The 14,533-nt window shown below is 51.1% G+C and overlaps 1 annotated feature.

The window, feature by feature from the left end:
• Positions 7,280-7,927: an enhancer, noted in NCBI's record as "H3K4me1 hESC enhancer chr7:101342297-101342944 (GRCh37/hg19 assembly coordinates)". NCBI's record gives its function as "activates a minimal SCP1, AML or CMV promoter by ChIP-STARR-seq in primed H9 embryonic stem cells {active_cell/tissue: H9 hESC(primed)}" and the evidence as "EXISTENCE:reporter gene assay evidence [ECO:0000049][PMID:30033119]".

Genomic DNA, 14,533 nt, shown 5'->3' on the forward strand with positions numbered 1-14,533 from the left:
ACAGGCGCCCGCCACCACGCCCGGCTAATTTTTTGTATTTTTAGTAGAGACAGGGTTTCACCATGTTAGCCAGGATGGTCTCGATCTCCTGACCTCGTGATCCGCCCTGCCTTGGCCTCCCAAAGGGCTGGGATTACAGGCATGAGCCACTGGGCCCGGCCCCTTCCTTCCTTCCTTCTTTCTCTTTTCCTTTCTCTTTCATGCTTTTTTTTTTCTTTCTTTCTTTTTTTCTTTTGAGAGCCAGTTGTAAATCATTTACCTGCAAAGGCTGAGAGAGCAGCCTCTTCCTCCTCCAGCCCAGGAAGCCAGCCAGCAGCACATCCAAGCAGCAAGCCTCCCTCCCTGGGTGTCGCTGCCGCCCACCCGGCTGCACAGGGAAAGCTTGCGACGTCTGTTCTTCCTCTTGCTTTATTTCTTCGTTTCCTTGCCTAAGCCTGGGAACCTGCACTGACCCTGCCCTCCCTACCCCCTCTTGACCTCTGCCCCATGGATGTCTGGCCCCAGAGTGTTCCTGGAGGACATCCTCTCTGATATTTTCAGAGTCACCTCTGGGCCTCCCGGGGACTATCCACACGAGGGGGTGATGGTTTCTGAGGTTGGACCCCGGGAGAACACAGCAGCAAGCCCTGAGCCTCCAGGACAATCTCCGCACCACTCAGCAAGAGCCCGTGCTGATCAATCAGTGAAACGGGAAGGCAGGGCCATCGCTAATTCAGGCAGCACCGGCATGGAGTTGGCCTAATTTGGAAGTGGCCTCTGCTAAAGCTGGCCTTCGAACCCTCCAAGGGGGGAAAAAAAAAGAAAAGAAAAGCTTTACTAAGCTATAAGCAGAAGCAGGACTGCAATCGAGCTGCTTCACCTATTTAAGGAAAGTGATCATTTTCAAATGCGTTTAATGCATGAATTCGGGTACACCAAAAACTGATATCCTGATTATGATCTGCCCTTTGTCCCCTAAAGGTGGTGACACTCTCCTTAGCACTACCAGCAGTCAGAATTGCTGCCAGCACTGAGCATTAAACTCCCCATCTTGTGTTTTGTTTTTGTTTTTGTTTGTTTTTTTTTTTTTTTTGAGATGGAGTCTCACTCTGTTGCCCAGGCTGGAATGCAATGGTGCAATCTTGGCTCACTGCAACCTCCACCTTCTGGGTTCAAGCAATTCTTCCACCCCAAACTCCTGAGTAGTTGGAATTACAGGCACACACCACCACGCCTGGCTAACTTTTGTATTTTTAGTAGAGACAGGGTTTTGCCATGTTGTCCAGCTGTTCTCAAACTCCTGACCTCAAGTGATCAACCAGCCTCAGCCTCCCTAAGTGCTAGGATTACAGGCATGAGCCACCATGCCCGGCCAAAACTCCTTTTTAAAGAACATCCTTGGCTGGGCACGGTGGCTCACGCCTGTAATCCCAGCACTTTGGGAGGCCAAGGCGGGTGGATCACCTGACGTCAGGGGTTCAAGACCAGCCTGACCATTATGGCAAAACCCTGTCTCTGCTAAAAATACAAAAATCAATGGGGTGTGGTGGCACATGCCCAAGTAGTCCCAGCTACTTGGGAGGCTGAGACAGGAGAATTGTTTGAACCTGGGAGGCGGGGGTTATAGTGAGCTGAGATCATACCACTGCACTCCAGCCTGGGTGACATAGTGAGATGGTCTCAAAAACAAAAAAAAACAAAACAAAACAAATTCTGGCCAGGCACAGTGGCTCATGCCTATAATCCCAGCACTTTGGGAGGCCGAGGCAGGAGGATCACTTGAGGTCAGGATTCTGAGACCAGCTGGAGCAACATAGTGAAATCCTGTCTCTACAAAAAAAAAATGCAAAAACTTAGCCAGGCGTGGTGGTGCACACCTGTAGTCCCAGCTACTCAGAAGACTGGGATGGGAGGATCGCTTGAGCCCAGGAGATCAAAGCTGCAGTGAGCCTATGATGATGCCACTGCACTTCAGCCTGGGCAACAGAGCGAGACCTTGTCTCGAAAACATAAAAGAACATCCCGCCATCCATTCCATCAGGCAGCCCTTCTCTCTTTCATGTAGCAATGTTTATGAAAGGACAGCTGTGGTCACAGCCCTGTTGAGTTCACACACAGAGATGTTTTCTGTGGCACGTTGCTCCTGTCCTGCCCTTCATGGGGTCTGATTGCAGAGGCTCTGGGAATAGGACGTCACTGGACTGCAAATTAGCACTGGCACCACGTCGGTCCCACGTCCCGCCCAAGTCTAACTTGACTTCTCTTAGTTGCTACCCCGTCAATGTTTGCCCAGTGAACGTTCACTGGTCCTGCTCACACCCCAAGCGAGTGGCTGGCAGGAAGGCCAGGGCTGTTGGGGAAAGCAAGTAACTGCCTGTTCTGGACGAGGTCAGTGGCTTTTAATTATTTTTCAGCAGAATTCTCTTTACAAGCAAAATCATAGTCAGAGCCTCCAGATGTAAAACAAGAGAGAACAAAACGGCTATAGTTGAATTGGGCCCTGCCTAGCTGCCCCTCCACCTGGGATTTCCTGGATTTTCTCTGGATCTTCAAGTTTTGAAGTCTTTTTTTTTTTTTTTTTTTTTTGAGACGGAGTCTCCCTCTGTCACCCAGGCTGGAGTGCAGTGGTGCGATCTCGGCTCACTGCAACCCCCACCTCCCAGATTCAAGCAATTCTCCTGCCTCAGCCTCCTGAGTAGCTGGAATTATAAGTGCCTGCCGCCATGCCCAGCTAATTTTTTGTATTTTTAGTAGAGACGAGGTTTTACCATGTTGGCCAGGCTGGTCTCAACCTCCTGACCTCAGGTGATCCACCTACCTCAGCCTCCCAAACTGCTGGGATTACAGGCGTGAGCCACCGCGTCCAGCCTAGCTTCGAAGTATCTGGTTTCCACCAGGGCCTGATTCTGCCTTCATCCAGAAACTCAGTCTCGAACTCCTGTGGGTGTAAAAGAAAATATAAGGAACAAAAATTGCTGGCACAGTGGTTCATGCCTGTAACCCCAACACTTCAGAAGGCTGAGGCAGGAGGATCGTTTGGGGCCAGGAGTTGAAGACTAGCCTGGCCTCTTCAAACATAGCAAGATCCTGTCTCTCTCTCTTTTTTTTTTGAGGCGGAGTCTCGCTCTGTCGCCCAGGCCGGACTGCGGACTGCAGTGGCGCAATCTCGGCTCACTGCAAGCTCCGCTTCCCGGGTTCATGCCATTCTCCTGCCTCAGCCTCCCGAGTAGCTGGGACTACAGGCGCCCGCCACCGCGCCCGGCTAATTTTTTGTATTTTTAGTAGAGACGGGGTTTCACCTTGTTAGCCAGGATGGTCTCGATCTCCTGACCTCATGATCCACCCGCCTCGGCCTCCCAAAGTGTTGGGATTACAGGCGTGAGCCACCGCGCCCGGCCTTTTTTTTTTTTTTGAGACAAGGTCTCTCTCTGTCACCCAAGCTGGAGTGCAGTGGGGTGATCTTGACTCACTGCAGACTCGAACTCCTGAGCTCAAGCAATCCTCTTGTCTCAGCCTCCCAAGTAGCTATGACTACAGGCACACACCACCACACCTGGCTAATTTCACTCCTTTTTAAATTTTTTTGTACAGACAGAGTATGGCTATGTTGCCCAGACTGGTCTCGAACTCCTGGCCTCAAGCGATCCTCCCACCCCCGCCTCTCAAAGTGCTGGGATTACAGGCATGAGCCACTGTGCCCAGCCAAAACCCCCATCTCTACAAAAAAGAAAGATTAGTGAGGCATGTGGTGCACGCCCGTAGTCCCAGATACTTGGGAGGCTGAGGCAGGAGGATCACTTGACCCCAGGAGTTCAAGCCTGCACTCCAGCCTGGGCAACAGGGTAAGACCTCCATCTCTAAAATAGAAATAAATAAATAACAAACACTGTGCCAGGTGCAGTGGCTCACGCCTGTAATTCCAGCACTTTGGGAGGCTGAGGCGGGCAGATCATTTGAGGTCAGGAGTTCAAGACCAGCCTGACCAACATGGTGAAACCCTGTCTCTACTAAAATACAAAAATTATCCAGGCATGGTGGTGGATGCCTGTAATCTCAGCTACTCAGGAGGCTGAGGCAGGAGAATCACTTGAACCCAGGAGGCGGAGGTTGCAGTGAGCCAAGATTATCCCACTGCACTCCAACACTGGCGACAGAGTGAGACTCCCTCTCAAAAAAATAAAATAGGGCCAGGCGCTGTGGCTGTAATCCCAGCACTTTGGGAGGCTGAGGTGGGCGGATCACTGGAGGTCGGGAGTTTGAGACCAGCCTGGCCAACATGGTGAAACCCCGCCTCTACTTAAAAAAAAAAAAAAAAAAAAAAAAGCCTGGCATGGTGGCACACTCCTGTAGTCCCAGCTACTCGGGAAGCTGAGGCAAGAGAATCACTTGAACCCAGGAGGTAGAGGTTACAGTGAGCGGAGATTGCACCACTGCACTCCAGCCTGGATGACAGAGAGAGACTCCATCTCAAAAATAAATAAAAATAAAATAAAATAAAAATAATAAACAAAAATTGGAAATTACAATAACGTCTCCAAAACACCATTTCCTGGGCTCCACCTCCAGCTCCCCAGAGTCCCAGAAAGAAGAATTCTCTTCTTTTGCACCTAACGGCTACCCTCTCCCTCCAAGGCTCCAGGTCAGCCTGGCAGTGATGATTCTGGTTACACCATATTCCAAACCAATGACTGGGACACTGAGGCCTGCAGAAGACCCCGTTGTCCCTACCAGCACCTCGGACACCAGATTGGACCTAGGAGCCATCTCCCATGACTGTACAAGTGACAATAAATCACTCATTCTTCATTCATTCATTCATTCAATGCTGCCGTGTCCCTGGTGCCCAGTGCAGAGCCAGGGACAGCTGTGAAGGGCGCATTCTCATTGACATGTGCCAGGCTTTGCACTGGGCACCAGAGACATGGCAGTGCCCAGGTAGACAGAGGTGCTGCCTGCATGAAGCGTGAGATGGACTCTGGTGAGGACACGGGCAGTCCCAGCCTGGAGCCACACAGGCATCCATGAGAGCAGGAGGGGAGCTTTGGGGCACATGGAGGGATCTGATTCAATCTGGGAGTCAGGAAAGGCTTCCTGGAGGAAGTGGCCTCTGAGCTGATACCTGGGGAGTTAGCAAGAAGAAGAGGGTACAGGCTGGGTGTGGTGGCTCATGCCTGTAATCCTAATGCTTTGGGAGGCTTAGGCAGGAGAACTGCTTGAGGCCATGTGTTTGAGATCAGCCTGGGCAACATAGTGGGACCCCATCCCAAAAAAAATTTTTTTTAAAGAGGGTGGGTGCATGGCCGGGAGTGGTGGCTCATGCCTATAATCCCTTTGGGAGGCCAAGGCGGGTCGATCACCTAAGGTTAGGAGTTCGAGAACAGCCTGGCTAACATGGTGAAACCCCATCTCTACTAAAAATATGTAAATTAGCCAGGCGTGGTGGCACACATCTGTAATCCCCGCTGCTCGGGAGGCTGAGGCAGAATTGCTTGAGGTAGAGGTTGCAGTGAGCCGAGATCGCACCACTGCACTGCTGCACTGCAGCCTGGGCAACAGAACAAGACTCCATCTCCAAAAAAAAAAAAAAAGAGGGCTGGGTGCGGTGGCTCACACCTGTAATCCTAGCACTTTGGGAGGCTGAGGTGGGCAGATTGCCTGAGCTCAGGAGTTCAAGGCCAGCCTAGAAAACATGATGAAGCCCTGTCTCTACTAAAATACAAAAAATTAGCCAGATGTGGTGGTGGGCGCCTGTAGTCCCATCTACTAGGGAGGCTGAGGCAGGAGAATCGCTTGAACCCAGGAGGTGGAAGTTGCAATGAGCAAAGATCGTGCCACTACACTCCAGCCTGGGTGACAGAGCAAGACTCTGTCTCAAAAAAAAAAAAAAGGGTGCAGGTGAAATGGGGTTCCAGCAGAGGAAATGGCACATGCCAAGGCTCAGGGTGTTGCAGGAGTGTGGGAGCTGGAGTTTGGTGTGGCTTGGAGAGAGAGGTCAAGGTGAAGGTCCGGAATGAGGAAGGCTAGTGAGGGACAATTGGATTTCTAAGGTCCTAGTAGGCAAAGCAAAGAGGGAAACTCGATCAGTCATTACATTCATGGGTCCAAGCAGGTGCTGGGGATATGGACGTTTTTTTCCAAGGACTGAGGCCAGGGAGAGAGGCCTTCTGTGTGCTCCCATAGGTGGGTACAGGGGCAGGGGGAGGGTAGCATTTTGGACAGCACCCCCATGACAGAGGCACGTTGGTAGTCCGGGGCCGAGCAAAGGCTGGTAGAAGTCAATCTGTGAGCGTCCAACTCCCAGGGGTCCCATTCCACCATACCTCGAACTGGTAACATTTGGGATCCCGGAGCAGCAGACGGCCCACCTTGTTCATGGGCAAACAGCCCAGTCCCTATCTTCCGCTGCTTTTCCTCGTCCTTCCTCAAGGCACACCTTGTACCAATGTGGCACTGGCCTTTAGCAGGCAACCTTGCCTGAGCCCTGCAGAGGTGCATCCTTGCCTGCACTGGCTGGTTCCCAATGGAGCTGCGGCTGCCACCAACCCCCAGACCCCAGGCCTCCTGCTGGTGCTGCACAATCTCGGCTCACTGCAACTCTGCCTCCCGGGTTCAAGTGATTCTCCTGCCTCAGCCTCCTGAGTAGCTGGGATTACAGGCACGCACCACCACACCCGGCTAATTTTTGTGTTTTTAGTAGAGACGAGGTTTTGCCATGTTGGCCAGGCTGGTCTTGAACTCACCACCTCAGATGATCCACCCGCCCGGCCTCCCAAAGTGCTGGGAGTACAGGTATGAGCCACTGCGCCTGGCCTCTCCTATTGTTTAAATGCATCTCTGTATGCCTCCTGACATCCTTTTCTGAGCAAGGCAGGTGCAACTAACCAAATAAACAAATTCAAAATGACTCCCCACCCACCCACTCCTCCCAGTACTGAGCCATTGTCGAAAGGTGAGTGTCATGAGGCCAGGGTGACTTTATTCCCAGGGGGCCCCAGGCTTCTTGTGCCAATGAACCCAGGCAGACCTGCACCCACTCTGCATATGCCCTGACATCTTAGGGAGGCAAGGCCCCCTTCCCGCCCCAAGCCATCCATTCATACATTCACTCAGTCACTTGTTCAGCAGATGACGGGTCTGAGGAGGCTCTAGCTGGCTCACCCCCTGGCTGCCCTGGGCCTAGGGGACATGGACCTCAGCAGCTGACCGATGGGACCTGTGGGACAGTCTGTCCTCACCCTGGCATGAGGCTTGCTGCAGAGTCCGAAGTCACCGTGTGCCTCCGGGCCTGGCTCTGTGCTGGCAGAGACTGTTCCCTGGAGCAGATGCAGGCTCCCATCTGGGGCCTCAGAACCCCGGCCCTGCCCACTGTCTGTAGCCTCTGTCACCTTCTCCTACACAGGCATCTCCAAGGCATCCCCTGCAGACACAGCTCCAACCTCCGCAGGCATCGGGCCAGGGCTCCCTGCAGGACGGCCATCACCCCAGCGGGCACCAACCTCCTTCCTCTTCAGAGCTGCCCCAGGTCTCCAGGGACTGGATCCAAGGCTCTTGCGTCTTAGAGAGGACTGGAGACGCCCTGTCCTTCATCCCCTCCTCCTGCCTCAGCGCAGCCCTGGATCCTCAGATCCTTCCCCAGGATAAGAGATGGTGGTAGAAGTGAAAGCTCCATTTCTCCTTCATGCCAATAGGCAGACAGACAGACAGACAAAAAGGCAAGCAAATAGGCATGCAGACAGACAGGCAGATGGGTAGGCAGACAGACGGGCAGGTAGGCAGGCAGATAGATGGACAAGCGGGCAGGCAGACAGGCAGGCAGACAGACAGGCAGGCAGACTGGCAGACAGACAGGAAGATTGTCAGGGAGACACAGAGACAGGCAGATAGGCAGGTGGGCAGGGAGACAGGCAGATGGGCAGACAGGCAGACAGAAAGCAGACTGGCAGGCAGACCGGCAGACAGATGGACAGGCAGACAGACAGGCAGACTGGCAGGCAGACAGGCAGACAGACAGGCAGACAGATGGACAGGCAGACCCACAGACAGGCAGACTGGCAGGCAGACAGGCAGACAGATGGGTAGGTGGGCAGGGAGACGGGCAGATGGGCAGGCAGAAAGACAAACAGGCAGACAGACGGACAGGCAGACAGTCAGGCATGCACAAAGACAGGCAGACAGACAGGAGGCCAACAGACAGGTGGTCAGAGCTGCAAAACTCCCAGGCCAAGCAGAGACATTTTGACAGAACTGGGTGGTGGGTTTCCCAGGGCCCTCTCCACTGTGGTGACGAGCAGTGGCTCAACCCCCCACCGGAAGGTGGAGAACAAAGACCAGGCAAGGGGGCCACCTTGTCCTTACCCTGGTCACCCCAGCCATCACCCCCTTGGGGCCCCGCTGACCCATGAACTCTCCGTGGCTCCCGGAGGCGCCATCACCCTCATCTTAGGGGAGGGCGCCTCGCGGGGCCGAGAGTACGGAAAGAGTGCAGTCTTATTGTGCACTTTTTCTTAAATCTGCGATAAGCTCCTTCTATTAGACTATAGATCTCGTCACATAAAATAGATTTGTGGACTCGCAGCCAGGGAGAGCCACGTTCTGGAGCGGCGGAAACGGCTCATTTTTCCCTCTCTTCCGAGAGTAACTGATGGTCATGAATTTTTTACCCAAATGTCGCCACTAAAGATGTCACCAGCCTCCCTCCCCTGGAGATTTTACGATCTGGCTCTAATGGGGTGGGGGTGGGGGGCCTGGGGAGAAGGGACTGGTGTGACCTGGGGCTGCAAAAAGGATTCAATGTCATCCGGTGGGGCGGTGTGGAATCAAAGGGGTCAGAGGCTGGGGTGTTGATGCCGGGTGACAATAGCAGTTCTGTTTACTGAGCAGTTACTGCGTGCCAGACATGTCATCCACCCTCTCTGGCTGAAGTTCTTGATGCAAATAAGATAACATGAAGTAGCCAGGCCAAGATGTAAGCCATACACTTGCCTTCTCACCTGTAAGGAGAGAATAACTCTTCTTTATTTTTTATTTTATTTTATTTTATTTTTTGAGACGGAGTTTCGCTCTTGTTGCCCAGGCTGGAGTGGGCAATGGCGTTATCCTGGCTCACCGCAACCTTCGCCTCCCGGGTTCAAGCGATTCTCCTGCCTCAGCCTCCCAAGCAGCTGGGATTACAGGCATGCGCCACCACTCCCAGCTAATTTTGTATTTTTAGTAGAGACGAGGTTGCTCCATGTTGGTCAGGCTGGTCTAGAACTCCTGACCTCAAGTGATCTGCCCACCTTGGCCTTCCAAAGTGCTGGGATTACAGGCAAGAGCCACCGTGCCTAGCCTGTTTTTTTTTTTTTTTTTTTTTAAAGAGAGAGAGGGTCTCGCACTGTCACCCAGGCTGGAGTGCAGTGATGTAATCATAGCTCACTGTAGCCTCAAACTCCTGGGCTCAAGTGATCCTCCCACCTCCGCCTCCCGAGTAGCTGGGACCACAGGTGCAAGCCACCACACCTGGCTAATTATTTAATTATTTGTAGGAAGGACAAGGGCTTGCTATGTTGCCCAGGCTGGCATTAAACTCCTGGACTCAAGCGATTCTCTCTCCTCGGCCTCCCAGAGTGCTGGGATTATGGACACAAGCCACCACACCTGGCTGGGAATAACTCTTTTACAAGAATCTGTGTCAAAGTCCTTCAGCAAGGCTACACTCTAGGAAAATGGGATGCTGGCTTTGGCAAGGCGTGTTTTCTGTTTGGGTCACTCATTAGGGAAATACCTACAGCCATTGTGGGAGAGGGGATGAAATTAGGACTGGAAATAGCCACTGTCTCCCTGCTCATGGAATCCCAGCCAGCCTCCCCAATCAGGAAGGGTGAAGTCCATGCCGGGAGGGCCTGACCAACACCTGAAGTACCAGGAGAGCTGGAGCCATAGACTCGTCACCCTCTGCGGAAGGACGGGGAGCCGGATTGAATGAGAGGGTCCTGGGAAACAAACAGAAAGAGGAGATCCAGGTGTAGGAAGAATGTTTTTGAGGGACGTTACCCCCAAACATCCAGGCTGTCAGGGCCTGCTCCCCTCGGACGGTGCAGAGCAAGGAGAAGGTCAGACAATGGCCCCGTCATCCTCCCACACCCTGAGCTATACAGTTAAATAACAGCGGCACCTCCATCACAGCCCAGGGTCTATTTGGTTTGCAGGGACTGGCACCAAGCAACAGACACTTGAGGAAGGGGTGCTACTTCCTGATCAGCAGAGAAGGGACTAAAGAAATGCTCCTGGCCGGGCACCGTGGCTCACGCCTGTAATCCCAGAACTTTGGGAGGCCGAGGTGGGTGGATCATCTGAGGTCAGGAGTTGAGCAACATGGCAAAATCCCATCTCTACTATACAAAAATCAGCCAGGCATGGTGGTGTATGCTTGTAATCCCAGCTACTTCGGAGGATAGGCAGGAGAATCGCTTGAACCCGGGAGGCGGAGGTTGCAGGAAGCTGAGATCGCGCCGTTGCATTTCAGCCTGGGCGACAGAGCAAGACTCTGTCTCAAAAAAATAAAAATAAAAATAAAAATAAATAAAAAAACAAAGTCCTCTTTCCCAGGGTGAGGAGGCACAGCCTGGGGGAGAGGGAGGGAGTTAGCATGGAGCCCATGGGAGGGGGCAGCAAGACTGAGGGATGGGGGGCAACGGAGGAGAGACATCTAGCGCCAAGTCCCAAGAGGGGACTCGGGAAATGTCCAGGGATTGATTGACACTTTACAAGACTCAAACACGTTGCACGTGGCACTCCCCAGATTATTGCCCTATAAATGAGTATGCAGCACGTTGACTGCTTCATGACCGGGAGGAATCCAGCCCGACACAAGTAAACAGACGACTGCAGTACCGCCCAATAACGCTAATAGGTGCTTTGAGAGAAGTGAGTTCAGGGTTCGCTTTCCAAGCTCAGGGTTAGTGACTGGCTTGCTGGGCAAATTACTCACTCTGCCTGGGGGCAAGGAGATGTCCAGGAAGGCTTCCTGGAGGAGGGGACAACTCAGCTAATAACCTTTAAGAGCACCAGGAGTGCAATTCTCTTGTTGGCAAGAGAGTGATTAATACCGGAGGTGGGTCCACTGTGTGGAGGAGAGAGTGGAGGGACAGTGAGAGAGGAGAAAAAGTTAGGGACAAGCTCAGAATCTCTTGGAGCTAGAGCGTTTTTTCTTTTCTTTTCTTTTTTCTTTTTTTTTTTTTTTTGCCCGACCGCGGCTCACTGCAATCTCCGCCTCCCAGGTTCAAGCAATTCTCCGGCTTTAGCCTCCTGAGTAGCTGGGATTACAGACCCATGCCACCATGCCGGGCTAATTTTTGTATTTTTAGTAGAGATGGGGTTTCACCATGTTGGCCAGGCTGGTCTCCAACTCCTGACCTCGTGATCCGCCCCCCTCGGCCTCCCAAAGTGCTGGGATTACAGGCGTAAACCACCATGCCCAGCTGGGAGCAAGAGTTTTATCTTGAAAAATACATGCAACTTTCCCATCCTGCTCCGTAATACAGTGTTGGTTTTTGTTTTGGGTTTTTTTTTTTTTTTTGAGAAAGGGTCTCCCTCTGTCTCCTAGGCTGGAGAACAGTGGCACCAGCATGGTTCACTGCAGCCTCAACCTCCCAGGCTCAGGCAATCCTCCCACCTCAGCCTCCCGTGTAGCTGGGACCATAGGTGCACACCACCACCCATCACGCCAGGCTAATTTTTAATTTTTTTGTAGAGATAGAGTCTTACCAGGTTGCCAAGGCCGGTCTCGAACTCCTGGGCTCAAGTGATTCTCCTGCCTCAGCCTCTCAAAGTGCTGGGATTACAGGCATGAGCCACCACGCCCAATCAGCGTTGGTTTTCATGTAAAAACAAGTTTTCTTTTTTTTTTTCTTTCTTTTTTTTTTTTTGAGACATAGTCGCTCTGTCACCCAGGCTGGACTGCAATGACTGCAATGGCTCACTGCAACCTCCGCCTCCTGGGTTCAAGCAATTCTCCTGCCTCAGCCGCCTGAGTAGCTGGGATTACAGGCATGCGCCACCACACCTGGCTAATTTTCACATTTTTAGTAGAGACAGGGTTTCACCATGTTGGCCAGGCTGGTCTCAAACTCCTAACCTCAGGTGATCCACCCGCCTCAGCCTCCCAAAGTGCTGGGATTACAGGCGTGAGCCATTGCACCTGGCCTAAAAACAAGTTTCCTAATTACTTACCACATATGAGTAGACAGGTCAATGGAACAGGAAACAAAGCCCCAAAATGTACACCAAAACATAGTGGAATTTAGCATATGATAAAGAGGGCCTTACATCAGTGAGGTAAGCATGGGCTTTTTAATAAATGGTGTTGGTAAAACCAGGAAACCACCTGGAAACAAATAAAACTGAATCTGTTCGCCAGAACACAAAAACAAATTCCAAATGGGCCCAAGATTTAGATGTAAACATTAAAATCATAAGAGAACCAGAAGAAATATGAATGAATCCCTTTATAACTTTGGATTGGGGACCATCTTCCAATGACTTAAAATCCAAAACCAAGGAGGGGGAATAGTGAGCATTTAAGTTGATGATGATGATGATAATGATGATGATAATAATAATAATAATAATAATAATGGGGCCAGGCACGGTGGCTCATGCCTGTAATCTCAGCACTTTGGGAGGCTGAGGGAGATGGATAACCTGAGGTCAGGAGTTCAAGACCAGCCTGGCCAACATGGCGAAACCCCGTCTCTACTAAAATTACAAAAAAATTAGCCAGGTGTGGTGACATGTGCCTGTAATCCCAGCTACTCAGGAGGCTGAGGCAGGAGAATTGCTTGAACCTGGGAGGCAGAGGTTGTAGTGAGCTGAGATCATGCCACTGCACTCCAGCTTGGGCAACGAGAGCAAAACTCTGTCTCAAAAAATTAATTTAATTAATTAATTAATAACAATAATGAACAACTTCTACATGACAAAGAACATCATATGCAAAGTAAGTCAAAAGATAAACAGGGAGAAAATATTTGCAACTCATATTACAGCCAAGGGGCTGCTCTCCCTAATATGTAAAAAGTTCTTACAAAAAAAGAGAAAAAACACCAAAAATCTGGTGGAAAAATGGGCAAAGGATTTGAACAGAGCATTCCAGAGAAAAGAAATATAAGTGGGCTTTAAACATATGAAAATGCTCAACCTTATTCACATTAAGAGAAAAATGGGCCTCGGTGGTGGCTCACACCTGTAATACCAGCACTTTGGGAGGTTAAAACAGGAGGATCACTTAAGCCCAGAAGTTTGAGATCAGCCTGGGTAAAAATCTCATCTCTACAAATATTTTTTTTTTAAAAGTGAGCCAACATGGTGGCACATGCCTGTAGTCCCAGCTACTCAGGAGGCTGAGGCAGGAGGTTTGCTTGAGCCCAGAAGGTAGAGGTTGCAGTGAGGTGAGGTTGGGCCACTGTACTCCAGCCTGGGCAACAGAGTGAGACCTGTCTCAAAAAAAGAAAAGAGCGAGAGAAATGAATTATACACCACACCAGAATACCATTTCTTACCTATCAGATAGGCCAAAATCCAAAATTATGCCAACACGGTCCAAGGATGAGGCTATTGTGTAGGCAAACAGGCCGTCTGGTATGTTGCTGGTGGGAATGCAAAATGATACAACCCCCAGTGGCAAGTGGTTTAGTAATTCTTATCAAAGTTACGGATGCATTCACCCTATGGCCTGTCAGTCCCACTTCTGGGAATTTGTTCAACAGTGCCACCTTGAACATGTAAGAAATGATGTACATATAAGCTTAATCATCGCAGCTGCGTGTAACAGCAGAAAGCTGGCAGCAATCCAGTTGTTTCACACATTATGCAAAAAGACAGTGAAATAAATCATGGTACATCCACACAATGAAATACTATGAAGCTGTTGAAAAAGGAGGAGGAGGAGAAAGAGGAAGAGGAGGTGGGAGAGGGGAAGAAGAGGAGGTGGGAGAGGGGAAGAAGAGGAGGAAGAGGAGAAAGCTCTCTATACCCTGACGTGGAAAGATCTCCCAGATAGAATATTGGGTAAAAACACAAGGAGTAGAACACCATAGGCTGGTGGGGTGTCTCATGCCTGTAATCCCAGCACTTTGGGAGGCTGAGGCAGGAGGAGCGCTTGAGCCCAGGAGTTCGAGACCAGCCTGGGCAACATAGCGAGACCTCGTCTCTGCAACAAATCTTTTAAATTAACTGGCATGGTGGCTCACACCTGTAGTCCCAACTACTTGGGAAGCTGATGTGGAAGGATTGCTTGAGGCTGGAAGGTCAAGGCTGCAGTGAGCCGTGATCATGGAACTGCACTCCAGCCTGGGTGACAGAGCAAGGTGCTGTCTCAAAAAAAATAAAAATAGGCTGGGTGCAGTGACTCACACCTGTAATCCCAGCACTTAGGGAGGCTGAGGCAGGTGGATCACCTGAGGTCAGGAGTTCGAGACCAGCCTGGCCAATATGGTGAAACCCTGTCTCTACTAAAAATACAAAAATTAGCTGAGCATGATGGTGGGCACCTGTAATCCCATCTACAGGGAAGGCT

This window comes from Homo sapiens, chromosome 7, assembly GCF_000001405.40.
Source record: "Homo sapiens chromosome 7, GRCh38.p14 Primary Assembly".
NCBI classification, from domain to species: domain Eukaryota; kingdom Metazoa; phylum Chordata; class Mammalia; order Primates; family Hominidae; genus Homo; species Homo sapiens.